We start from the raw sequence: 26,843 nt of genomic DNA on the forward strand, positions 1-26,843 counted from the left end.
ACACTTATGAGAGCCAGATTGGCACATTTGGTCATATGCTCACAATTTGGCTGGGGCAGGCAAGCTCCTCTATTATGTCCTTCCAAAACTACACACAGAGAGGTAATTCCAGTAAAAGAATTACCCCCACCTCACCAAAGAAACAAAACAAAACCCAAACAAAAACAACAAGAAAAATGTGTATGCTATTACCACAACAAGAGAGAATGGAAACCCCACTTCTAGGATACAGTAATGGTCTTCTATAGATATCAATGGGCAATTCAGAAATAAAAATATATAAATGATTAAGAAACTTTAAAAACTATAACCTCACTAGAAGTCAATGATCTGCAAATTAAACTTTTGTTGTTTTTTTTTTTTGCTAATCAGATTGACAAAGATTAAGAAAGATTTTACTCTGACTTTATAAGGGTGGTGGAAGGCAGAAATTCAAACACAATGTTGACAGAAGGATAAATTGATAATAACCTTTCTGAAAATCAATTTTGATATGTATGCCAAAAGTTTTAAAAATATACATACCCTGCTATTTCACTTCTAAGAATTTATCCTAAGGAAATACTCAATTAAGAAAGATATATGCACAAAGACATCCAATGTAGCACTGCTTGCTCTTATTTAAAAATGAAATAAACAGGGTTCAAAAATAGGTGATAGAGTCAGTAAATTATGATAAATCTACATGATGCAATATTATGAAGCCATTAGAAATCATGCAATTGCAAGATATCCATTTTCATATATAGAGAAATGTTCACATTACTGGTTTTAAAAACTATAAAACATACCATAAATCATTTTGTAATACCATAAACAGGAAAATGTTATTTCAGGGTGATGGCATTATAAGTGTTACTTCCTTTTGCTTTTTTCCTATGACTTCTATATTAATTATTACTTTATAAATAGAAAGATGTTATAAATAATAAATATCTACTTGACTTATAGATATTAAATTCTTGATATATATCCTATTATATATCAAGAATTATATATTATATCAAGAATTATATAATATGGAATATATATCAATAATATCTATCTATATTATATAATATATATTAAGAATTTTATGTCTCTAGAAATTGGTTACAATTCAACCAGGCATGGTGGGTGTCTCAGCCTGTAATCCCAGCACTTTGGGAGGTCAAGGCCGGCAGATCACTTGAAGTCAGGAGTTCGAGACCAGCCTGGCCAACATGGTAAAACTCCATCTCTACTAAAAATACAAAAATTAACCAGGCCTGTTCGTGAGCACCTGTAATCCCAGCTACTTGGGAGATTGAGGCAGGAGAATCACTTGAACCCGGGAGGCAGAGGTTGCAGTGAGCCGAGATCATGCCACTGCACTCCAGCCTGGACAACAGAGAGAAACTCAGTCTCAAAAAAAAAAAAAAAAAAAAAAAAAATTGGTTACAATTGAGGTGGAATTTTAGTTCAAATCTCTTAAAAAACAAGAAACATTTCTTGACTAATCAGAAGAGCTGATACTCAGGGCCATATTCAAAGTCAGCTGGTACTTCAGTTTTAAATGAAAACAATTACATGAACCGTAATAACCTGCCTTTACCTTCATACTCATGTTTTTAAAAACTGCCATATTGAACCTAATAGTTTTGGCCCACATTTAAAGGAAGATTAAATTACTTGGAAAGGGCCCAGAGGACAGTAATAAAAATAATTACATACTTAGAAATTTGGTCCTATAATGACATGCAAGAGGAAATCATTTAGAAAATAAAACTGAAAATAACCTTACACTTTTACGGGTTACCATAACCTCTGAAGAATGGGACAAGAAGCCAAAGAATTGAATTATAATGAGAATAATTTAATTTAGTCATTAGGAAGAACATCTTATTCCTCAATAAGTATTTGAGTGATTATTAATGTCCAATGCTATGGCATAAGGACTTGTAACCACTAGGATGTGTTACTAGAAATTATTTTCTTAAAAGTGTCAGAGGTAGAATATTGTGCAAAGTAGGGGCTTATTACATAACCCTTTAAGATCTTTTCCATATTTATGATTTTTACAAAATTTCAGGCATCTAGAATAATTATAAAAACATATCTTATTTTTATGGCTTTTTAAAAGTGAAAATAGATTAATAATTAAGAAATATAAGAGGATAAAAATATTAGAGATTTTTCATTAACATTGAGGAAAATATAAGTATACAGTTAGTTAGGAAACGCATTATATTATTTGACTCCATAAAGGGGAAGCAATTAAACTAATTATTAAGATATGAGTACATGTGTGTTAAGTGTCAGTATTTGTATTTTAAATCTCTTTTTTTTTAAAGTATAGTGCAATGTAGTGAATGCAGACAAAATGTTCCTATAACATATCTGTACAGATTTTTTTCTAAGACGGGAGTCTTGCTATGTTGTCCAGGCTGGTCTTGAACTCTGGGGCTGAAGCGATACTCCTGGCTTAGCCTCCCTAGTAGCTGGGACTACAGGCACACACCAACTTACCAGTAACACATTAGTTTTAAGGGGCTCAGATGAAGGAAAATAAAATGGATTTAAGATGAGTAAAAAAGAATCCTCCTTTGTCTGGGCTTGTTCCATCTTCCAAATATGTAGCAGCAACATAATGACACTAAAAACTGCCCTAAAAATCTGTAACAGAAAAAAAAAATAGCTTACATGCTACTCAAAAAATTACCTAAATACCTCTCAAAATCAAAACAAAAAGCAAAGTAAAAAATAAAACAGGACATACTTGCAAGAAAAGATATGACCTAAAGGTTGTATCTTAGCCCTGTTTGTTTTTTGAATAAAATATTAAGTTTTAAGCATTTATTTACTGTTTACATACATTAGGCCTTACCATATTATCAGGCACTATTCTAAGTATTTTACGAATAGTACTTTATGTAATCCTCATAGCTCCACAAGTATGAGGGTGTGGTGGCTCATGCCTGTAATCCTAGCACTTTGGAAAGCAGACTGCTTAAGTCCAGGAGTTCAAGACCAGCTTAGGCAACATGGCCATACCCTGTTTCTACAAAAAACAAAAAAATTAGCCGGGGATGGTGGCCTGCACCTGTGGTCCCAGCTACTCAGGAGGCTGAGGTGGGAGGATCACTTGAGCCTGGGAGATCAAGGCTGCAGTGAGCTGTGATCTTACCACTGCACTCCAGACTGGGTGACAGAGCGAGACTCTGTCTAAAAAAAAAAAAAGCTACCATTGTTATACCCCATTTTATAGATTAGGAAACTGAGGCACAGAGGTCACACTAAGCCAAGATCACACAACAAATAGCGGAGCTGATGGAGCTGAGATTCAAATCCAGGCAGTCTGGTGCTGGAGTCCATGTGTGTAATCACTAAGCTATTATATACAAGTAATTCCTTCAAATATTAATATTTGATAACAATTTTGAACTTTGAAGTTTGCAAATATCCACAGCCTGTATAGTTAGAAGTACAAAAGTAATCACAAATAACTTTTCTAATACAGATTTTAAATTGGAAAAGATTTCTTTGAATAGCTTTACAACAAACATGTGTAGACAAAAGTAGGGATAAGAAAGAAAGACTGTTTTTTAAATGCATTTGTCATGAATTTACTACCTGGGTAAGCAAAAAACTTGAGCTGTCTCTTTTGAAAGACATAATTTACAAATATGAATTTATATATTGTCTAGAGGAAAAGCACAGTACAATTTCAATTAATGTTTAATTCTATGACTGACTAAAATCTTTATAATATTTTTAATTAAAGAAGAAGGTGACCGGGACTTAGGTAAGAAAGCAAAATTATAACATTTACTACATAACAAGTTTTTTGTTTTTTTTTTTACATAAACAAGCTTTGTTTCTTACAAAAAAAAACAAGCTTCTTCTTTTTTTTTTTTTTTTGGATACAGAGTCTCACTCTGTCGCACAGGCTACAGCATAGTGCCGCAGTCTCGGCTCAATGAGGCCTCTGCCTCCCGGGTTCAAGCAATTCTCATGCCTCAGCCTCCCTAGTAGCTGGGATTACAGACATGCACCACTACACCCAACTAATTTTTGTATTTTTAGTAGAGACAGGGTTTCCCCATGTTGGCCAGGCTGGTCTCGAACTCCTGGCCTCATCTGATCCGCCTGCCTCGGCCTCCCAAAGTGCTGGGATTATAGGCATGAGCTACTGTGCTAGGCCTATAAAAAAGCTTCTTTAGGGTAACTTTTTTCTTTTTTCTGTAACAGAATAATCACATTATTTCTCAAGGGAAATACCATTTACTCAATTTGTACTCTGAATGCCATCTAATAAAACAGCAAAGCCACAACCATGCAGAATGTCAGCACAGCATGTCTAACTAAAACTCACTGTAAGAAAAAAAAGGAAAAGAGAGCTGATTTCAAAGGTTCTACATGGCTTTGCACTTCACATGCTCTGATGCTGCAGATATGAGAAGTTGTAGGTCTAACATAATTTATATCTTCTTTTAGGATACTTTGGCATTTGTGAATTGAGAAGTTTGGAAAACAACTACGCAAGTCACTTCTAATCCTAAAATTCCAACTACATGAAATAAATATTAGTAAGTACTCAGACACACACAATGTCAAAGGCTGGCCTTGTGGCAAAAAGGAAATACAGCAAAATCAGTCAGGTTCCCACCACGGCACTGATAGCAAGTCTGTTCTCAAGGTTAGTCTCTAAACTGACACCTGGTAAGTCTGACAATGAAATATTTGCCAACAATTAAGTAAAGGAGATCTCTCCTGATAAATTTTTCATAAGTTTCACATAATACACTTTGATATTTCCTGGAATGTTTGTGGCCCTCCCCTCACTGCATTGCTCTCTCATTTTGTTGGCTAATACATGTTACTAAAGTCAATATATATTCAACTCATTTTTCTCTGCCTCTTGGCCCAATTTAACACAGCTGATCCTGTTTTCAAATGCCTTCATCTGATTTTCTTCTCACCTCCTGACCTTTGTAGGTCTTTTATGTGCTCATTAATGTTGGAATTACTTATTTTTTCCTTAACCAAGTTTTTCATCTGTAAAATGGATGTAATCTTATGATTTTCTTCATAGTGTTGCGAGAATTCAGTAAGATTATGAATGTATAGATTTTGGCACAGTATCCAGGACCTAAATTCTCTATAAAGGCTAACTACTATTACTACTATCAACTCACAGCTAGATTAGTGAAATTGTGTCCTGACTTTCCATGCTTATTCTTCCTCTTCTCCACTCTTCTGCTCATAATATAACTAGTTTTATTTTTATTTATTTATTTTTTGAGACAGTGTCTCACTCTGTCGCCCAGGCTGGGTGCTGTGGCACAATCATAGCTCACTACAACCCCCACCTCAAGTGATCCTCCCACCTCAGCCTCCCAGGGAGCTGGGAATACAGGTGCGTGCCACCACGCCCCACTAATTTTTGAATTTTTGTGGGTTTTTTTGGTAGAGATGGGGTTTCATTATTGTTGTCCAGGCTGGTCTCGAATTCCTGAGCTCAAGCCATATACCCGCCTTGGCCTCCCAAGTGCTGGGATTACAGGTGTGAGCCACCTTGCCAGGCCTAGAGAGTTTTAATAAGCACAAATCTGATTATGTGCCCCTCAATCTATCCAGAAACCCATTAATGCTTTTATAGGGCTTTTAGAATACAGACACATCTCTTACTACTTTTGCCCCCAATCCTTCCCTATGCTTTAACCAAACTGATTTCAAGCTTCTTGCTTCTTTGATAGTCCCTGCTCACTCCATGAGGGCATTTGTCCACAATATTTCCCTTGTTGGAAACCCTCTAGTGACAATTTGGTCCTAATTTTCCTTTAGACCTTTGCTAAAAAGTCACTTCTGTCTTGACTAAGTCTGGCCTATTTTGCATTTTCCTTATACTACGTTCCTATCCCCTAGAACTTCTGTTTGCAGTTACAAATTTATATGAGTGACTACTATTTATTATTAATACACATTTGTGTGTTTCTTCCAACAGACATCTCAGACTAAGCTCCTGATATTCATCCAACCCAAACCTGTTCCTTTAACCTCCTTTGCCATCTCAGAAAATAGCAATACTATTCTTCCAGTTGCTGAGGTCAAAACCCTTGGACTCTCACACTTCACATCCATCAGCAAATTCTATTGTTTCCCCAGAATTCAACTACTTTTCCCCATTTCCACTGATACCCACTGTGGTCAAAGCGCTATCATCACTTCCTGGATTGCTGTAATACCTCTTAACACATCTCCTTGCTTCTTTGACCCAACCATTTATCCCTTGCCTACCTACAAGACAGCTAGATGAATCCTTTAAAAATGGCAGATGTCATTCCTCCACTGAAACCTTCCAATAACCTGCCATCTGCCAAGGACTGTTGTGTACCCTGCTAAATTAATATGTTGAAGCCCGAATCCTCTCCTCACTCCTATGTGACTGTATTGGAGACAGTCCTTTTAAGGAGATAATTAAGGTTAAATGAGGTGATCAGGGTAAAGCCCTGATTCCACAGAACTGGTGCCCTTATAAGAAAAGAGACAACGCTCTCTTTATCATCTGAGGAGACATTGAGAAGGTACTGTCTGCAAGCCAAAAAGAAAACCCGAACATGATCATGCTGGCATTCTGATCTCAGACTTCCAGCAGGCAGAACTGTGAGAAAATATATTTCTACTGTTTGAGCCACCCAATCTATGTATTTTGTTATGGCAGCCTGAGCTGACTAACACACTATTCTACTAAAAAAGTCAAGTATGTCTAACAGCCAAAAAAGGTCCTAAACATTCTGATCTACTACATCCCATATCCTAAGCTCTCTGATGTAATTGCCTTTGATTCTTCACATCTCTTAAGCAAGTTCCAGCCAAACTGGCTTACATGCAATTCCGTGAGCATGCTAAGCATGCTCCTGCCTTTGGGTCTTTGGTTTCCCTCTGCTTCAGACACTTTTTTTCCCAAGAACTCATATCACTCACTTCCTTACTCAAATATCACCTTCTCAGTGAGGCCATCCTATGGAAAATTTTATGATCCTCATTTCACACAAATATCCCATTTCCCTTTCCTTAGTACTCACTGCTTGGATGCTATGTATTTTACCTATTTATCTTGTCTATTGTTTCTCTTTCTCACTAGAAAGAACTCCATGAGAGATGGGATTGTCCGTTTTGCTCACTGCTATATCCCGTAAATACAGAGTAGCTCATAGTACCTGTTCAGTATTTATTCAACTAAATGAATGTTGAATTCCAATAGTGGCAGAATTCGTTGTGGAGCTGAAAGGTACTGCACGGATCAACTACTAATGCAGCAATTCCCTAGTAGAAAACTGCACTGCTTAAAGGACCACCTCATTTTTCTGGCCTCCTCTGGTTATTACTAAAGCTCAAAAGGAGCTTTAAAAATCCTGATGCAACAGCTGTTTTCCCCTCTCACCGTCTTTAAAAATAGAGATAATAAAATAGCCTGAAAAGTTGTCAAGTTCAAGTAAGATCATGTTTATGACAATTTTTTGAAAATTGCCTGGTTGCAGCTTTTACTTACAGCATTTTCAAACAGTTCTGCCAACTCTGTGGCTCTTTCATCATGTTTCAAGTGTTCAGCAAACGATGGTGTTCGTCTCCATAAAGTCAAAGTTTAAAAATACAAGGGCCGGGCGCGGTGGCTCATGCCTGTAATCCCAGCACTTGGAGAGGCGGAGGTGGGCGGATCACGAGGTCAGGAGATCGAGACCATCCTGGCTAACACGGTGAAACCCCGACTCTACTAAAAATACAAAAAATTAGCAGGGCGTGATGGCGGGCGCCTGTAGTCCCAACTACTCAGGAGGCTGAGGCAGGAGGAGAATGGCGTGAACCCAGGAGGCGGAGTTTGCAGTGAGCCAAGATCGCACCCCTGCACTACAGCTTGGGCGACAGAGCGAGACTCCGTCTCAAAAAAAAAAAAAAAAAGTACATAAATAAAAACCAAGTAATTGGAGGACGCCATTCATTGATTTTACTTAGGACTTTGGGCATAATCTATAGGTTTAAAAATTTCTGCTGCTAAGAAAGTGGGAACACAGTTATATTCCCTTACATTTTACCGAAGAGAAACTAGACCTGCAGAGGAGTACCTTTCTGTTTCTATATAAGCAGAGGAATTCTGCACAACCCAAATCACGCAGAAACCTCCTGGTAAGGACTCCACGGGTAGTTATTGCCGGCATTGTATTCTGAGAGATGAGCTGCATATCACTTTTGGAAATGCCTTAAATTAAAACTCGTCTTGAAACAACATGACGTCTCAAAGAAGCTCCCTTCTCACCTTGGAACATCAGCTTTTAAAATAAAGGTGTCATCAGAAGTGTGTAGACACCCACTGCATCACAACTGGAACTGATCTCTGGTTATGCCAATCTAGGTCTGCCTGGCAGGGTGAGTCTACCGCTCGAAAGCTGCACAGAGGAAATCCTCCCTCCTCCAGGTTCAGGCCCGGAGTTACGAGCGGAGATTCGCGGCGGCGGGTCAGAGCCCAGAGCAAACCAGGCTGGGGAACGCACCTCGCCCGCGGCTCCGGAAGCGGCTGCGGCCCCGACCGGAAAGCCCCCAGCATCGCCCGAAGGAATCGCGGCTGGCCTGCGGCTCCGGCCCGGCCTCGGGTACCACGCGCCTAGTGGGAAGCCGCACTGACGCCTGCAGCATCTCGCGAGATTTCGGGCTCAGCCCAAGTACTGCGAGTTCACCAAAGCGGGGGGAAAAAAAAAAAGCCAGCGTGCGAGAGCCTCTGAAGCCGTGGCTGGGGCGCTGGGGTGGCAGCTGCCGCGGGAGCATCAGCTACCGGCGTGAGGCGAGGCAGGGCACGCGCGCCGTCCGCAGCCCCGTTGCCTGGGCTGCAGGTCCACTGACGCGCGGCCCCTGGGTGGAGAGAGGGGAGGTGGCCTGGGAGCCCGCTCCTTTTCGCCGCAGAGCGCGGCGGGGGAGGGAGGTGAAGGCGTGGGAGGAAGGCGGCGGAAGAGGAGGTAGCCGCGCGGAGATCCTCCCGGCGACATCACTGAGGCGGAGCGTAGCCGCGCCTGCTCCCCGATCGCGCCGTTCGTGCTGCCCGCACTGCCCGAGGCCCTTTGCGGACTGGCTGGCCGCGCTCTTCGCACGGGGCGCTTTTGCGTGGGGTCGCGCAGGAGCCGCGGAGGGCCGGATCGCTGAGGGAGCGTCAGCCGCGCGCCGCTGCGGGACCGCGGGTGGGCGGGCTGAGGGGCGGAGGAGCCTCCGGCCCCGCCTCCCGCGTGCTGCTGCCGGAGCCGCCGCCGCCGCAGCCCCGCCGAGGCTTTAAACAGCGGGGCCCGCCCCGCGCCCGCCACACTCGCGCGCTCGCTCGGCTGCCGGTGGCCTCTGTGGCCGTCCAGGCTAGCGGCGGCCCGCAGGCGGCGGGGAGAAAGACTCTCTCACCTGGTCTTGCGGCTGTGGCCACCGCCGGCCAGGGGTGTGGAGGGCGTGCTGCCGGAGACGTCCGCCGGGCTCTGCAGTTCCGCCGGGGGTCGGGCAGCTATGGAGCCGCGGCCCACGGCGCCCTCCTCCGGCGCCCCGGGACTGGCCGGGGTCGGGGAGACGCCGTCAGCCGCTGCGCTGGCCGCAGCCAGGGTGGAACTGCCCGGCACGGCTGTGCCCTCGGTGCCGGAGGATGCTGCGCCCGCGAGCCGGGACGGCGGCGGGGTCCGCGATGAGGGCCCCGCGGCGGCCGGGGACGGGCTGGGCAGACCCTTGGGGCCCACCCCGAGCCAGAGCCGTTTCCAGGTGGACCTGGTTTCCGAGAACGCCGGGCGGGCCGCTGCTGCGGCGGCGGCGGCGGCGGCGGCAGCGGCGGCGGCTGGTGCTGGGGCGGGGGCCAAGCAGACCCCCGCGGACGGGGAAGCCAGCGGCGAGAGCGAGCCGGCTAAAGGCAGCGAGGAAGCCAAGGGCCGCTTCCGCGTGAACTTCGTGGACCCAGCTGCCTCCTCGTCGGCTGAAGACAGCCTGTCAGATGCTGCCGGGGTCGGAGTCGACGGGCCCAACGTGAGCTTCCAGAACGGCGGGGACACGGTGCTGAGCGAGGGCAGCAGCCTGCACTCCGGCGGCGGCGGCGGCAGTGGGCACCACCAGCACTACTATTATGATACCCACACCAACACCTACTACCTGCGCACCTTCGGCCACAACACCATGGACGCTGTGCCCAGGATCGATCACTACCGGCACACAGCCGCGCAGCTGGGCGAGAAGCTGCTCCGGCCTAGCCTGGCGGAGCTCCACGACGAGCTGGAAAAGGTGAGCTCGCCCAGCCCTCCCTTCTTCCCCAGCCCCTGGTGCATGCCGACCGCGGGATGTGGCTGCAGACTCTTCCCGAGTTGAGGTGGCGGGAGTAGTAGACGTGCACGACTTGCTGGCATCTCTGGATTCAGCTGTCAAGGGTGGAATTGCCGAGGAATGTTAACTTAATCTCTCAAAAGTTTGTAGCGGGTTTGGCTAGTTACGTGATACCGGAGGGCTGCCTCTAACAACCTTCCCCATCCAGTTAGGTATCTCGTGTGCACTTTCTTTCCCACCCACGCTCAACAGTCACCATCCCTCTGAATGACAGTAGTGTTTGTGGGCCCTTTAGAGGAGAATGTGCAGTGAGGATCTCTCGAGAGAGGTTGGAGAGCACCTACCATCTGTGTCGTTTTGAAAGATTGTGTTGTGTGGCTTATGTACGCCTATTAGGGATCGCAAGAGTGGGAATGTTGCTGTTTGAAGGAAAACCTTAACAGGGTGTGTTTATGGTCTATGAGTTATTAAAGCTCAATTCTTGCAATCTTGAATATACAAAGGATCATAGAGATCTTGTCTTGGGACACGCTGTTCCTAATAATGGCATAACTCTTTTTTTTTGCGATGAAAACGTTTTGGGAGAGGTGTATATTTAAAAAAAAAGGGACAGAGGCGAGTCTTTAAAGAAAAAAGGGAAACAGGAGAATTGGTTTTTCTGTAGAGGATGACCAGAAAGACCTGTGGGGTCTTTGCCATAAGCAGTTACACTTTGTAAACAGAAAACCATCCCCATAAACTCATTGATTTTTGTAACTATTTTTTATGGTCACATAAGACTTATTTCTTCAGCGTTCAATGTCACTGTTTTGAGATAACATTGATGCTTTTGAGATTTCGTTAATGTTTAACTTTTTTATGAGCCGGGATTACTTGAAGTCTTCCTTTACAAGTGTGTAATGACTACATTGATGGAATTTGTGAACGCAAGAGGATGGTACCACATAGGTTGAAATGATCACAGTTTGGACAAGTTTAAATCCAGTATGTGATTTCTTTTGGATATGATTATTTGATCTCATACAGTGATTTCATACAAGATTGTACTTGTCCCAGTGTTTGATAATGTAACATTCACACAGAGGTAATTACAGAGCTCTTACAGCTTATTGATTGTTTAAAAGCCTGAGATCATTTAGCTTTAGATAATACTATTCTTGTTATTCCATTGTGGTATTTTGTCATAATCAGAAGCAAAACAATGTCTAAAACATTTTTTATTCATACTCCTGTAGTTTCTATCAAGTCTATTCTTTTTTCTTTTCAAAACTCAAAAATCATTGTAGACAAAAGTAGATATGGAGCTGGCAATTTTCATTATCTTAGGACAGTTTTACTAATGAAAATATTATACAGATATATTTTAGATTTATTTTACCAAAGCCAAGTATGTGAGCAGTAAAGTGATCTGTATTTACCCATAAGTTTTAGAAAGACATCCAATTGAAAGGTATATATGTTGAGCTTATATGCTTCCTAGGGAAGTTTTTGCTACTTTAAATTAAATTATCTCAATAACAAAGCACTTCAAGTTCTCCAAAACTTTAGATTTGTGTGTTTGTGTTTTTTGCTTGGCTTTTTGGTTCAAAGTATCTAAAAAACAACACCTGTACTGTTAGTTGTATGGTAGTTGAAGAAATCACCCAACCTCTTAGCTTCAGCTTTTCAGGGTTATCATGAAGATTAGAAAAAAAGCGCAATAAAAATGACCATGTTCAGTGCCTGGAAAATAATACCTAGTTGTTATTTCCCTCTTATATTGGCCCTTCAGAAGACTCTAGGATCTCAATTTTAGATTCTGTTAATTCTTACGTTATTAGGTGAATGTAGTATATAAATATTATGTTCAGTTTCATTTATGCAACAGGTACTTTAATTCTTTGTAGTTTACCTTCTGCCACTCATAATCTTTATGGCCACTGTTTTATTGGCTTAACTAATAACTACATGTTGAAGATAATTTTGCTTAGAATTTTAGCAGATGGATTAAAGAAATGGGTGTTAAGTAGTACAAATATGACTATACATCACTGTCGAAAGAGGGGCAGACAGGAGGGGTTATAACAGGTTGGCTGGATCCCCAGAAGTTGTCCCTTACTCTGTCTAAATTGACTTCTACCTCTCTAACACCTTCTGTAATGTTTCTAGCCTTCAGTGAATTATAATATTTAGAATTTTTATAACACCTAATTCTAGCAGTCGATTGATTGGCATATACTCTACTTTGGTCTACTAAGTGCATAATTATCTACCATGGGACTAACTCTGTGTTGGGAACTACAGAAGAAGAAAAGAAGTAAAATACTTCAGAAACTTGTTAGGGAAAAGGACTGGATTGTCTTCCCTCCAGTTGAATTCCTTTCATTATCCATCACTGACTTTTTAAAAGTATTTTGTCTAGATGTCCAACTGTAGGGGAAAAGATAAATATCCTTGGTGCATCTTGCTATATTATATAGCCATTCTAGGACCAGTAGGCATGAGTTCTCCATTTATGAGTTATTGGGGAAGGGGGTATCTTAGATGTTGACAACATGCTTGTGACATTGTGGGATTATGTGGTGATTAGCAAACCAGTTACTGCTTCTGCCTAGACAGACATTAACAAAGTAGTTGGACAAATAACATAGTTAATAACTGTTTTTTAAGTGTTACGAAAGAAAAGGATACTTGTAAAGATAGAATAGGACCTAATTTTAATTGGGTTTTGGGAAGGCGTTTTTTTGAGAAGTATGACATTGAAGCTGAGACCTGAAGGGTAAGTTGATGATTGGGTGGAATGACAGTCCTGACCAAAGGGACAGCGCACATGAAGGTAATGGGGTGAGAAAGAGTGGTATATTAACATAACTAAAAGGAGATAACTATTTTTCATTATAAATGTAGTGGGACGCTATTGAAGAATTTTGTGTGGGGTAGCCACATGACCCATTTTGTTTTAACATCTTTAGGCTCTGGGTGGAGAATGGATTGGCAGGGGCAAGAATGGAAGCAAAGAGACTCAAGTGATTACTGTGGTCTGGTTGAGAGATAGTAAAGGTTGGTGGCACAAAGGATTGGATGTGGGAGTGAGAAAGAAGCTGACTTGTAGATTTTGAACTTGAGAAACTTAATAGATGTTGGTACTGTTGCTTGAGATGAGAAATACTGGAGGAGGAATAGATTTGGTGGTTGGGAGAAGTTTGTATTTGAGGCTATTCTGTTTCAGTAGCCTATAAAGACAAAGACAACTTATTCCAAGAGTCGTGGAGGAGGCTCTGTGTGTGTGTGTGTGTGTGTGTGTGTGTGTGTCTGTATATAAACATATGTAAATATATATATTTACATATAAAGATTTGGTTGCTTAAGGTCATGGACTAAATTACTTAGGGAGAGTGGTAGATAAGAGAACAGAAAATAGGGTCTGGCATTGGACTTGGAGATTGTTTAAAGGTCTGTTAGAGATTGAGGAGCCATTAGCAAAGGAAATTAAGGAAGAGCTGCCATACTGTCAAATAGCCTGGAGAGCAGTGTTGGGGGAAGCTGAGAGAAAAGAGTTTTTGGAAAGGCAGAAACTCTTCAAAGCTGATGCTAGGAATTGATTTAAAAATGTATATACGTACACACACAGAGTGAAAAATCAAAGTATGGATTTTTGGCCCTACAAGAAGAAATAAAAGGTGGAGGGTAACAAAGTATTTGATGGACATCTTCAACATGTATGATGGAATGCTAGATTATCAAATGTGGAAAGTGGAGTGGTAGACAATCCATACTAGCTCCTACTGGATTTAAAGCATTATTAAAGTAGTTTTTTGTTTTTGTTTGTTTGTTTTTTGTGTGTGTGTTTTACTATTTTGTGTTTTACTATTTTGACTGCTAAACCATAATTTCTAATATTTTTGTTTTTAAAGGTAGCATTACCATTGCAGTTGTCCTTGGGCCAAGGCTTAGGAGCCTTTTGCTGGTGGTATGTCAAGGGTTTCTATATGATTCCTGTATTTTTGCCTTTCTCATTAACAAGGGGAAAGGTCAAGGGAGCAACTATATTGTCTTTCATGTGTCACTTTGCTTGTTGGATTTTCATTAATTCCTAAGAAATAGGTCTTATACACATTTTACTCAAGATGAAATGAGCTAATAGAAACAGAAGAAATTGGCCAGGTGCGGTGGCTCACTCCTGTAATCCCAGCACTTTGGGAGGCCGAGGCGGGTGGATCACCTGAGGTCAGAAGTTCGAGACCAGCCTTAACAACATGGTGAAACCCTGTCTCTACTAAAAATACAAAATTAGCCAGGCGTGGTGGCGCATGCCTGTAATCCCAGCTATTTGGGTGGCTGAGGCAGGAGAATTGCTTGAACCCAGGAGGTGGAGATTGCAGTGAGCCAAGATTGCGCCATTGCACTCCAGCCTGGGCAACAAGAGCAAAACTTTGTCTCCAAAAAAAAAAAAAAAAAGAAAGAAACACAAGAAATTGCTTAATAGCCACTTTTACAAAAAGTGCAGCTGGAGGACAGGCACCATGGTAGGAGCCTGTTGTCCCAGCTGCTTGGGAGGCTGAGGCAGGAGGATTGCTTGAGCCCAGGAGTTTGAGACTGTAGTGCACTGTGATTATGCCTGTGAACAGCCACTGCGCTTCAGCATGGGCAAAACAGCAAGACCCTGTCTAAAAAAAAATAGTAGTACAGCTCAATTTGGACTTCACATCCAGGTTTTTCTGACTTTAATGCTAGGACATAGTAGCAGCAGGTTCTTCTCTCTTTATCTTTTCTATCCCTTAGACCTGTTCTAAGATAACAAAGATGTTGAGGGGGACCCCTTGGGGATTACCACCACCATTTCTCTACCTTGAACTCCTGAGAGTTGAATGATTATATAACTGACAGAAATCAAGAGATGTGATGATGTAAATATTATTATGACTTCTTCACTAGCATCTGTATAAGTGTTTATCTTCATACAGAGAATAGGCACTTAATAAAGATTTGTTCATGGAATGTACAAATCAGGTGAGCAGTTCCTGTCACTTAACAAGGACTTTAAGTAAAACACTAAATAATTACAGAATCTCCTCTAACCATGAGCTGCTTCTCTGAGTGGGCTGTGTTGATGCCTAGTCAAGAAATTTCACACACTATTAATCATTTCAGTGTATAGCTTTAGTCCTTGAAAGTCACCCTGGGGGAACAAGAATGTGTCTCTCGAGGGTGAGGGGAAGAGTAGAGTAGTGTCCAGAACTGGGTAAAGGTGGGACCCTGATAAGAAATATTTACATGTGGCAAAGTCAAATTTGGCTGATTTCACAGTTTTGCCAGGGGCTTTGCCCTGCTAAACCCATGCTACTTGCCATTGAAGTCAGGCTTACCCATAATACTAAATGCATTCCCCCAGGTGTACACTGACTGAAGTAGTTCTACAATGCGGCAAACAGGTAAAATTGCAGCTACTGCTTTGTTAAATAGAAAACAGCTTTTAATTTTTAGCATAAAAATTTCCTGGGTAGAAGGAAAGAAATTTTGGGATTTAAAATGTAGCAAAAAATCAGTACACTGCTAAATTGATATCTTCTCTGTGTGTATTTATGTTCATACATTTTAAAATCCTGTGAGACTAGAATTTAAAGGACCAAAATAGAGTTTCTTGGTTCTTATGTGTGGAGTGTGTTTGCTTTCAATGATATTTCATTATATGTTACATATATATATTTGGGAAGTCTATAGTATAGTCCTATGCTGAAGTGAAATAAATGTGAACCTAGTTATTCAACAAATCCTTGTTGAACATCAACAACAACACTGTTCTAAATGCTGGGGATATAGCAGTAAACAAAACAAAGTCATGGGGCTTTCATTCTAGCGGTAGGAGACAATAAACAAACAAAATTAAAGCAGGGCGAGGAAAATTAAAGGTGGCTAGATGATGGCTGGGTGATGCTGTTTTAGCATTGTTAGGGAAGACCTCTGATATGTGAGCAGGCTCTAGAAAGGGGTGACCCCCATGCAGATACCAGGGAAAGAACACTCTAGGCAGAGGAACAACAGATACCAAGACCCTGAGATGGGAGTGTGCTTGGTGTGATGGAGAGACAGGGAGGTCAGCAAGACCGAATTGATGAGGCAGTGTGATAAAGTCAGGGGGTAGTGAGGACCAAATAGCGCAGAACCTTGCAGATCATGATAAAGACTTAGGATTTTACTCTGAGTGATTTAGGGGAAGGCATTGTAGGGTTTTGAGCACAGATTTGACATGATCTGACTTATGTTTTCAAAATACCACGCTGATTGTTGTGTAGAGAATATACTGTAAGGGGGCAAGAGTAGAAGGCAGGAAACCAGTTAGAAGCCTACTGCAATGGTTCCATTAAGATGATAATGACTTTTACTAAGGTAGTAGTGATTGATACAATGAGAGGTGTTCAGATGCTGGATGTGTTTCAGAGGTAGAATTGTTGGGATTTGCTGATGGTTTGGATGAGGGGATGTATGGACAGAGTAATACTAGGGTTTTCCCCCTATTTAGAATGGAGTTGATATTAATGGAGAAGTCTGTGAGAAGGGCAGGTTTGGGAGATGGACTCAAGATAGGGTTTCATTCTACAAATTAGTTCTCCAATGAGGCAAACAGGTAAAATTGCAGATACTGGTTTGTTAAATAGTAGAACTTAAGAAAACAGCTTTCATTTTTAGCGTAAAAATGTGCTTTTGCTCTTCAGGTAAAACCATGAAAACTAGTAGTCTTTCAAATACTGTACAAAGGGGTAGGGAACTAGTGGGTTGATTCCACAAAGTGAAAGCCCACTGAGGGTGAGCAACAAGGAAAATTACTTAAAATACTGAAGTTAAAAACATTAGTGGTGTCTCATTTAAACCATGAAAGCTACTATCAGCTGAGGCCCTCCTTTGTCTTTTTCCATTTTCACTAGGATCTCTACCAACACTAGCTTAAAGCTATTATGAAAAACTTGGAGCTGGTAGAGAACTTGGGGGTTTCTAATTGGAAGAAGGGGGAAAGCCAAAAAGAAAAAATAGCTTAGTGGAATGTTGACTCTCAGCAGAAGCTAATTATGGCTAGTACACTCATAGTATCATTGGACTCAGAAATTTCCCTGCCTTAATTTTTAAAAAAATTCTGTGCTTTTTCTGAATAGTCACAAATTAGATATTCATCTAGGTTCAGAATTCTGGAAACCTGTGGGATAGTTCTTTGTTGGGTAAGTGTGAATTAGTTCTTCCATCAGTTTAGTTTCAAACAGAATTTGGTATGGTATGCTAGCCATTTTGGAGACTTTTGCAAGGGAGCGTAGGTGGTTTGGCAGGGCAGGCTTGAGTATTCCAGTGGGGAAAGACTTAGAGGACCCTAATCATTAGAGACCTGCCCTTCCCACAGACTTCTCCATTAATATCAACTCCATTCTAAATAGGTATTACTCTGTCCATACATCCCCATCCAGACTATCAGCAAATCTGAACAATTATACGTTTGAAACACATCCAGTATCTCAATACCTCTCATTGTATCAGTCACAACCACTTTGGTAAAAGCCCATTATCATCTTAATGGAACCATTGCAGTAGCCAAGATGAGAGGAAGGGGGTGATTAAAACATTTAGCTGCAATTCAAGAATTGGGCTATAGGGCTGACGGTCTTGGAAAGAGGTAGGAAACTTCACAGAGCATGTCTGGACTGAGGACCCCAGTCCGAAGTTTGGACTAGCAGTTGTTGTGATTATGGCCTGTTACCATTTAAGGTCTTTATCAGTGCTGTCCGATAGAAATATAATATGAACTACATATGTCATTTAAAAAAGTAAAGAATCAGGCAAAATTAATTTATAATATACCGTATTTTATTTGACACTGTGTCTAAAACATTCATTGCAGATATAATGAATATTAAAACATTTATAATGAGATATCTCAATTTCTTTTTTTTGTACAAAGTTTGAAACCCCGTGTGTTTTTCACATACAGTACAGCACATCTCAATTCAGACAAACATTTCAATGGTGTTGAAGTAGTAGCTCCTTGTGACCTTTGATTACTATATTGGACAGTGTAGATGTAAACAGTACTTGGCAGTTTGGTTCTGAGGTCCTATGATTTTCATTTTTCTTCTTGGATATTTAACTGTTCCTGTCAATAGTTTACTTCTGTTAAAGAAATTTGAGTAGCTTCTATCTGACAGAAAAAGCGGAATATTTTATTTAACTCTCATTCCTTTCCAGGTACAAGCTCTTTCCTTCCTTCCTCAGCCAGACTTGTTGAGAGTATTGTTTATAATTGCCGTCTTTCCTTCCTTACCTTTTACTCAAACTGCTGTAGTGTGGCTTCTATTTTGCATAAATAGTTCTTGTTAAAGTCACAAGTGATCTCCATTCTTATCACAAATTTCAGGAAGTTTTTGTTTTGTTCTGTTTTGTTTTGTTTTGAGCAGTGTTCAGCTTTCAGGCAGCATTTGGTGTTCTTTTGAAGTGTTTTGGTCACTTCCTTGGCTTCTTAGTTTTCCTTCTGCCTTTCTGACTCTTTCAGCCTCGCATCCTTTGCAGTCGCCTCCTTCTCTAACCTGAACATCCTCAAGGCTTTATTTGGACTTTTCTCCTTCCTTGTTCCTCTTTTTTCTCTCCTTATGCTACATCATCTGTAGTCCAATGACTCCCGAAATTTCGTCTTCTACCCACACTCCTCTGAGTTCTGGGTATCCAATGCTTGCTTGACATTTTTGTTTTATGTCTCAAAGATAACTCAAGCTCACAAACTTAGTATTTCTTCCCATTCCCTCCAGAAACAAGAATCCAGGCCCTCTGCCAGTGTGTGCTATATCTCTCGGAATGGTACCACTATTCATCATACTGCAAAAGTGAGAAACCTATGAGTCATCCTTGACACTTTTCTCTCATTCCCCCATCCAATCACTGAGTTCTGTCAACTTGAATTTCTAAATATTCTTTTCATCTAAGCTGCTACCATCCTATTAGGTTGGTGTAAAAGTAATTGCATTTTTTGACATTGAAAGTAATGCCAAAAACCGCAATGACTTTTGCACCAACAAAGCTGCAGCAATAGCCTTGTAACTGGGCTTCTCATATTCACTGTGCTTTCCCATCACTATTGTGCCCAAAACAAAACTGATCATTGTTGCCCAATGCTCCCTGCATTGTCTATTTCTGGTTTGCCTCTTCTTCAGTGTTTCACTTACTCAGTGGCACAATAATTCTTTGGTCACGTGGCCTTTGTACATGGTACTCTCCATGGACTCTTCCTCTCCCTTCCACCATTCCATACACCCACTGTTAACTTTCAGTTTAAGATTTCACCTCAGTCCTTATTTCTTTTGAGAGGAGGCCTTCATCCTCCAGTCTAGAACAAACTCATTTTCCCTTAATGGCTTTAGTTAGTGGTAGTATATCTATTAACATGGTTGCTTGAGTCAACTTAAGCTAACTTCAAGCTCCATGAGAAGCTGACTTTGTGATTGATCACCATTATGTCCTTTGCTATCTAGTATAGGCCTGACACAGTAGACCCTCAATCGATACATATTGAATAATAGGCCTAATTCTTTACATATTAATGTGGTACAAAAGAATCTTACCTACCTTATATCTGTTGTCTAGATTCTCTAAAGAATGTTTGGCAGAGAAATTGCCCTGTTTTGCGTATGTGGTGTTTAAGACCCAAAAGAACTAAATGACCTGTCCAAAATCATAGACATGCAGAGCTAGCATTGGAAATTGGGGCAGGCATTACTGAGTCTCAGTTGGCATTCATTTCAATATCCTACAGTTTAATACTGCATAAGCTCTTGTTATTTTGGTGACTTTTTTTTTCTTTTTTAAATACTCATGACAAATGTTTTTATATCCATTGAATATAAAATAGAAAAGATTTAGGCTGCAGAGTTCTAGTGTATGGATGTATCTCTTCCTAGTAGAAAAATGTTCAAAAAATTAAGAATAAGAAAGTTTCTTATACATGGAATCTTAGTTTTTTGTATTTCCTCTGCCATCCCCTGTCCATATCTTCCAAAAGTATGATATAAATTTTTAAATGTAATATGGGTTGTACTTTCCAGTAACTCGTAACTTGTGGCTGTTAAATTTAACTTTAAATTAACATTGTGTTAAAAATTCAGTTCTTCAGTTACTTGAGTCACATTTTAAGTACTTAATAACCACATTTGGCTAGTTGTTATCATTGGACAATTGAGATACCAAAGATTTCCATCATCACAGAAAGATATATTAGATAGTGCTGTCAAGGGAGGTGATATCTAAAATAACTCTTTTCCTTCATTCATTCTTTCTTTTCTTAATTCCTTTTCTTCCACATTAGTGACTACTAGTTTAAAGTCATTAGAGAGTCTAATGTTCTTCTAATTTTGCATAGGATCCTTCCTTAAATAAAAGTGTCTGGAACATTAGGTTCTCAATGAAGTGTTTCAATCAGTGGAATCTGTTTTCTTTGTGAGAGTGGAGATTTGGGTCTTTAAAGGCCTGTGAATAATTTAATATTGTATTGTTAGAAATGTTAGTTTCCAAAGCATTCTTAAGTTACATATCTGCATTTGGTCTTCAGTCTCAGGAGTAGGTGGGTTTTTTTAGAAGGTCCTGGAGTAACAGTCTCATTTTGCAAGGCTGTAGTTTGTCTTCAAGATAATACCTGGTAGGGCAGAATCTTTTTGAAACCAGGTCTCGGTATCCCAATTTTTTTCTTTTGGACCAGTGATTCCAAAATTTCTAAAAGAACCACCTGGGGAAAAATGGCTGTTTCCCATTTCCCAAAGAATATGTGCAGTGTTTTGTTTTTATAAACAGGCAAAGTATGTTTTATTCAACCTCTTAGAGCAAGTTTGACCACCTTACAACCTGCGGGCCACATGTGGCCCAGGACAGCTTTGAATGTGGCCCAACACAAATTTGTAAACTTTCTTAAAACATTATGAAATTTTTTTTGCAATTAAAAAAAAAACTCATTAGCTATTATTAATGTTAGTGTATTTTATGTGTGGCCTAAGCCAATTCTTCCAGTATGGCCAAGGGAAGTCAAAAGATTGGATACTCCTGTCTTAGAGTATTTGTGGTTTTTAGAGTTTTCCTGGTGATTCTTAGAGAGGCTGGTTTGAGAATTGGTGACCTAGACCATGTTGAGTCTTTGATTACCATATTGAGAGTACAGTCATTTGTTTTCATTGATGTGCTGATTCTCAATTTTGAAATACCCTGATATTGACAAGTACTATCTATCAAAGTTCTGGCTTTAACTGTTAGATAACTGTATACTGAATTAAATTAAGTTGTCAGTTATTAAACATCTGATAGGTTTCAGTAGTTTTCTGTAGCCTGGGCACAACAACCTTGCAAGCTAGGTAGTTGACAGATGGACAGACTCAGAAGCTAGTATCAACTTGTAAGTGGTAAACACTGGATATTAGGAAAGGTAATAGGTATTAATACCTAATTATTTAGTAGCAGACACTGGATATTAGGAAAGATGAGGTATTAGGAAAAACATCTATGTTTTTACTCATTAAGTATGAACAAAACATGGTTATGTTGCTATTAAGAGTCCTATTCAAATGCTGTAGGGATATCAGACATACAAGTACTAAGTGATAAGTTTGAATCCTGATGAGTTATTGCAGAATAGTTGGGTCTAGATATTAACCTCTTTTTTATAAAACCTAATGGTTTCGGGCATAACTTATCAGACTTGATATTTTAGAAACTAATGTTATGGCAAATAACTCTTTATAGGAAGATTTTTTTCTTTGAAAATTAAAATGTGAATTTGCTTTTTGTTTATTTAATCACCAATTTGAATCTCATTATTTTAGTTTAAAATAAAACCGTCATGAGAATTGTGTACTGAGAGCATTTGCAAATAAGTATTTTAAAAGAGAAATGTTTTCTGGCAAAGCTGGGCAGGACATAGCCTCAGTACTAACTTACCTATAAATTTCTAGAGATTTGCCTAAGGTTGGGTTTAGAGAAAATATTACACTGCCTCTCCTGTATCAATTCCAATTATCAGGCAGATTTGCTGATCAGAAACAAATTTAAGAAAGGTAATTAAGCAAAATAACAGCAATAACAACAAATAGGCATTCATAATAAACGGCTTTGTGGTATCTTGCAGGAACAGAAGATAAGAAAATCATGAAAAGCAGAAACAAAGCTCTCAGAAAATAGCAGTCTGTAATAACCCTTTAGATATAAGAACAGGACCTGAATTTCAATCATTATAACATCTTCATCTAGCATAAATGCTAAGGAAATTAACAATGTTTTAAATCTCAATACAAAAAAAGAGTCAGTGAACTATACAATTTTGGAAAATTTCAGTCTCAAGCCTTCCTAGAATATTAGATTTTAAGAGTCTGAGGATTAACCTTTTTGAAAACCAACACTTTAAAATTTTATTCAAAGAGTTTCATTGTACTTTGCTTATTTCAAATGTTTATTGTTTCATGAGGAAGAGAAAGTAATATAAGTTTGAGAAATAGGGAAGGTAACTTAAATATCTCAAACCCTTAACCTTTTTGCATTTCTGTGCATTTTTAAACTAAAATTTTATGTCCTACTTTCTCTATCTAGCATTAAGTAACATTAGTAAATAATCAGTTTCCAATGCTGCCTATAGAATATTCATATAGTTATAATACTTTAAAGTATATGTACCATAACTTGCCATTTCATGCTCTTTGTATACTTTTTAGTCCATTTACATTTATTGTGATTTGGTTGTAATTAGGCCTGACATTGTGTTGTTTTCTATTACCTGTTTTTTGTTTCTCGAATTATTCTTTCCTGCCATTTTTTGTGCTAAGATTTTTTAGCATTTAATTTAATTCTTCTGTTGAATTTCTAGTTATATATCTTTGCATTATTTTTTAGTGGTTACTTTGAATATCATTGAATTTCTTCAGCTGAAATATAGGAATTTTAAAACAGTACTTTCTCTTTCCTCAGTGCTCTTGTCATCTAGATGATAAACATGTTGTTCTTGTTGCTTTCAATAGTTACATGGCTTTAAAAAACAGATAAAAGAAAAATATGTATGGTTTTTAAATATTTTCATTTATATTCATTCTTTTTTGTTTATCAGATTGCTTCCCTTCCTTGGGCACTTCTTGTAATGGAGGTCAGTTGGCAACAAGTTCTCTTAGTTTTTTTTTATCTAAACATGTCTTTATTTTACTGGAGTTTTGAAGGATAGTTTTGCTGGATATAGAATTCTTAGTTGACAGCTTTCTTCTTTCAGCCTTTTCAGTATGCCATTTCAATGTCTTCTGGCCTTTGGTGTTTCTGGTAGGAAGTCAGCCAACTGTGTAAGATGTTATTTTTCTCATTGCTTTCCAGATTTTCTCTTTACCTTTGACTTTCAGCAGTTTGTGCTTCAAGAGTTTCTCTATTTGTGTATCCTTTGTCAGTTTGTTAAGTTTCTTGAATCTGTACGTTGATGTTTTTCACTCTTCCTTCTTCTGCCATTTCCATTCTGCTATTAAGTCCACCTAGGGAATTTTTCATTTCAAAATTTTTTTCATGAATTTCTGTAAAAATTTATTCCAGGTCTAGAATTTCTAACTTTTAAAATATAGTTTTCATTTCTCTATTAGATTCCATCTCTGTTACTCATTGATATATTTACCTTTGCTTTTGTTTAACATATTTATTGCAGCTGTTTTTGGAGTCTTTGTCTCCTGAATTTAACATATGGGCCACATGGAGGAAATTTCTAATGACTGCTTGTTTTTTTTGTTTTTTTTGTTTTTTTTTCTTGAGTGTGTGTTACATTTTCCTGTTTATTTGGATGTCTAGCAGTTTTTTATATGGAAACTGGCCATGCAGACACTACGGGTTTTGGGGTTGGTTTTTAAAAATATTCTTCTGAAAATTATTGTTGTTGGTTTTTTTTTGTTGTTGTTCTAAAAGGCACTTTTTATCTAGGCTCAAACTGCAGACTTTCCACCCCCATCCACTCCTCTCCCCATACAATAGCTGATATCTCTGTTCTGTATTTTATGGTTTCCAGCTACTTATTTTTAGGTTGGCCCCTGGGGAGTCTCCCCTGCATTTGTGTAATTTGGTGGCCAGCAGAGATTCGGGGGCTTACCCTTGCCATCATTATACTTTTTCTGAAGATTTTCACTTAATTTCCAATTCCTCTGTTGACTTTGGGCTCTATTTCCTGATATTTCAAGTTAGTAGGGCTTTACTCTCAGCCATTTAAGCTATCCACAGTTGAGAAAGGCTCTCAGTTAAAAAGCAGCAAAGTCAGGGATCTGACAAAAGTGCAGCTACATCTATCATGAGTATTTTCTTTCCTGTCTTTGCTTCTTTTTCATTTACTCTGGTTTCTTTTCCATGCACATACAGTCGTATGTTGCTTGACAACTGGGATACTTTAGAGAAACACATTATTAGGTGATTTTGTCATTTTGCATAATGATACAAACCTAGAGAGCATATTCCACTACACACCTAGGCTATATGGTGTAGCCTGTTGCTTCTAGGCTACAAATCTGTACAGCATGTTACTGTACATGGTTGGAACATAATGGTAAGTATTTACATATTCACACATAGAAACCTAAACAGTAAAAATACAATATAAAAGATAAAATGGTACACATGTGTAGGATACTTACTATTGAATGGAGCTTGCAGGACTAGAAGTTACTCTGAGTGAATGTAAAGGCCTAACACATTACTGTACACTACTATAGACTTACAAACACTGTAAACTTAGGCTACATTAAATTTATTTAAAAAATATTTTTCAATAATAAATTAACCTCAGCTTGTTTTAACTTTTTACTTTATAAACTTTTAGATTGTTTAAAACTTTTTGACACTTTTGTAATAACATTTGACTTAAAACACAGACATATTGTACAAGTGTACAAGAGTATTTTCTTTGTATCCTTGTTCTACAAACCTTTTTCTATTTTTAAAAATTTTAGGTTTGTTTCTTTTAAACATCTGTTTTTTTGTTAAAAAGGAAGACACAAGCACACACATTAGCCTAAGCCTATAAAGGTTCAAGATCATATCACTTTCACCCCCACACCTTGTCCCACTAGAAGGTCTTCAAGCACTATAACACGTGGAGCTGTCATTTCCTATAATAACAGTATACATTCCTTCTTCTGGAATACCTTCTGAAGTATCTGCCTGAGGCTGTTTTACAGTTATTATTTTTTTTAAGTAAGTAGAAGTAAGCTGTAAAACAATAATAAAAATTGTAAGTACATAAACCGGTAACATATTTATTATTGTTATCAAGTGTTATATACTGTGAATAATTATATCCGCTATACTTTTATATTACTGTCAGCTTAGTAGGTTTGTTTATTCCAGCATCACCACAAACTCATGAGAAATGCATCGCACTGTGCTCTTAGAATGGCTACCACGTCAGTAGGAGAGGAATGTTTTAGCTCCATTATAATCTTATGGGACTATTGTATATGCAGTTCATTGTTGACAGAAACATCATTATGTAGCACTCGAGGGATTTAACTCTTGGCATTTCTACTTAATAGTTTGTGGGACATCTAGGAAAAGGACTTCACCTCTGACCCTCAGTTTCCTTATATGAAAAATGGGAAAGGTGACAGAGCTAGAGTATCCCTAATCTGAAATGCTCCAAAATCTAAAACTTTTTGAGTGCTGACATGGTGCTTAAAGGAACTGCACATTGGAGCATTTTGGATTAGGGATGCTGAACTCCAGTAGATATAATGCAAATATTCCAAAATCTGAAAATATCTGAAATATGAAACACTTCTGGTCCCATGCATTTTGGACAAGGGATACTTAACCAGTATTCACAGTGAGAAGTATCAAATTCCTGTGAGAAATACATGAAAAATCAAGTGTATCTTATGTATCCAGGTGTATACTAAAATGTAGTTTTTAATTACATGGTTCTTGATACATACTGCTTTTCCAGTGTTTTACCCATTTATGATGCTACTAGACATATACTTCTCTATCTTCTTACCAACTTTTGGTTCATCTTTAAAATAATTTGAAATAGAAATTGTACAGTTACTAATTGATACTGGAAGGTGTAAGTTTTCTGGTACTCGAATTAAAATATTTTCAAGCTTTTAGTTTATTGACATTAGCAAGTTGTGTGGGATTTGAAGCAATGCTATTTCTAATGCATTCTGTTGTAACTCAGTCTTGAATGGTTAGTAAAGAACATGATGGGCTAGGTAGAGGACTGAATTCTTTGTAATCAGCAGTTCTGACTTGGTTCATTGTAAAGTCACATGGTCACACCATCCACTTTTATCTGTGGCACTTGAGTTTTGAGCTTTGCATTAATACCACTGGATATTAATAGAGCATTGTTAACCAGAGCAGATTGGATTCCTGTAAAACAATACTTTGTTTTGAAAGAGTAGTCTGTATGGGGAGCATTACACTGAATACACCAATCACCGACAGCACGGATAGGAAATGTTGGTAGCTTTAGGATGATATAATTGGCCAGTACTTGATTAAAAAAAATTGTTAGAACAATTGTTAGAATAAAACCGGCCACTTTGGGGTCAAAATTTGCA

General features: G+C 39.1%; 1 protein-coding gene and 1 long non-coding RNA gene across 25 annotated transcripts in view, besides 2 other annotated features; one reads left to right on the top strand and one right to left on the bottom strand.

The window, feature by feature from the left end:
- Window positions 1–8,716, bottom strand: part of SLC12A2-DT (SLC12A2 divergent transcript) — a 142,736-nt gene extending 134,020 nt beyond the window's left edge. For 6 of the 19 annotated variants that reach the window (NR_152804.1, NR_152803.1, NR_152798.1 and 3 more), the window contains exon 1: window positions 8,276–8,716. This is a non-coding gene — a long non-coding RNA (SLC12A2 divergent transcript). Of the gene's footprint in view, window positions 1–2,487; window positions 2,635–7,513; window positions 7,736–8,275 lie in introns of all 19 variants that reach the window. The other 13 variants (NR_152813.1, NR_152802.1, NR_015360.2 and 10 more) reach the window with 8 other exon arrangements.
- Window positions 8,971–9,800: a silencer, noted in NCBI's record as "silent region_16295". NCBI's record gives its function as "represses an Ori minimal core promoter by ATAC-STARR-seq in GM12878 lymphoblastoid cells {active_cell/tissue: GM12878}" and the evidence as "EXISTENCE:reporter gene assay evidence [ECO:0000049][PMID:35858748]".
- Window positions 9,307–26,843, top strand: part of SLC12A2 (solute carrier family 12 member 2) — a 105,912-nt gene continuing 88,375 nt past the window's right edge. For all 6 annotated transcript variants that reach the window (NR_046207.2, NM_001046.3, NM_001256461.2 and 3 more), the window contains exon 1: window positions 9,307–10,251. Coding sequence is in view for 5 of the 6 variants with exons in the window: in NM_001046.3 (NP_001037.1) it covers window positions 9,496–10,251 (756 nt within the window). In the remaining variant the exon portion in view is untranslated. The remainder of the gene's footprint in view (window positions 10,252–26,843) is intronic.
- Window positions 10,291–10,460: an enhancer, noted in NCBI's record as "active region_23037". NCBI's record gives its function as "activates an Ori minimal core promoter by ATAC-STARR-seq in GM12878 lymphoblastoid cells {active_cell/tissue: GM12878}" and the evidence as "EXISTENCE:reporter gene assay evidence [ECO:0000049][PMID:35858748]".

This window comes from Homo sapiens, chromosome 5, assembly GCF_000001405.40.
Source record: "Homo sapiens chromosome 5, GRCh38.p14 Primary Assembly".
NCBI classification, from domain to species: Eukaryota; Metazoa; Chordata; class Mammalia; order Primates; family Hominidae; genus Homo; species Homo sapiens.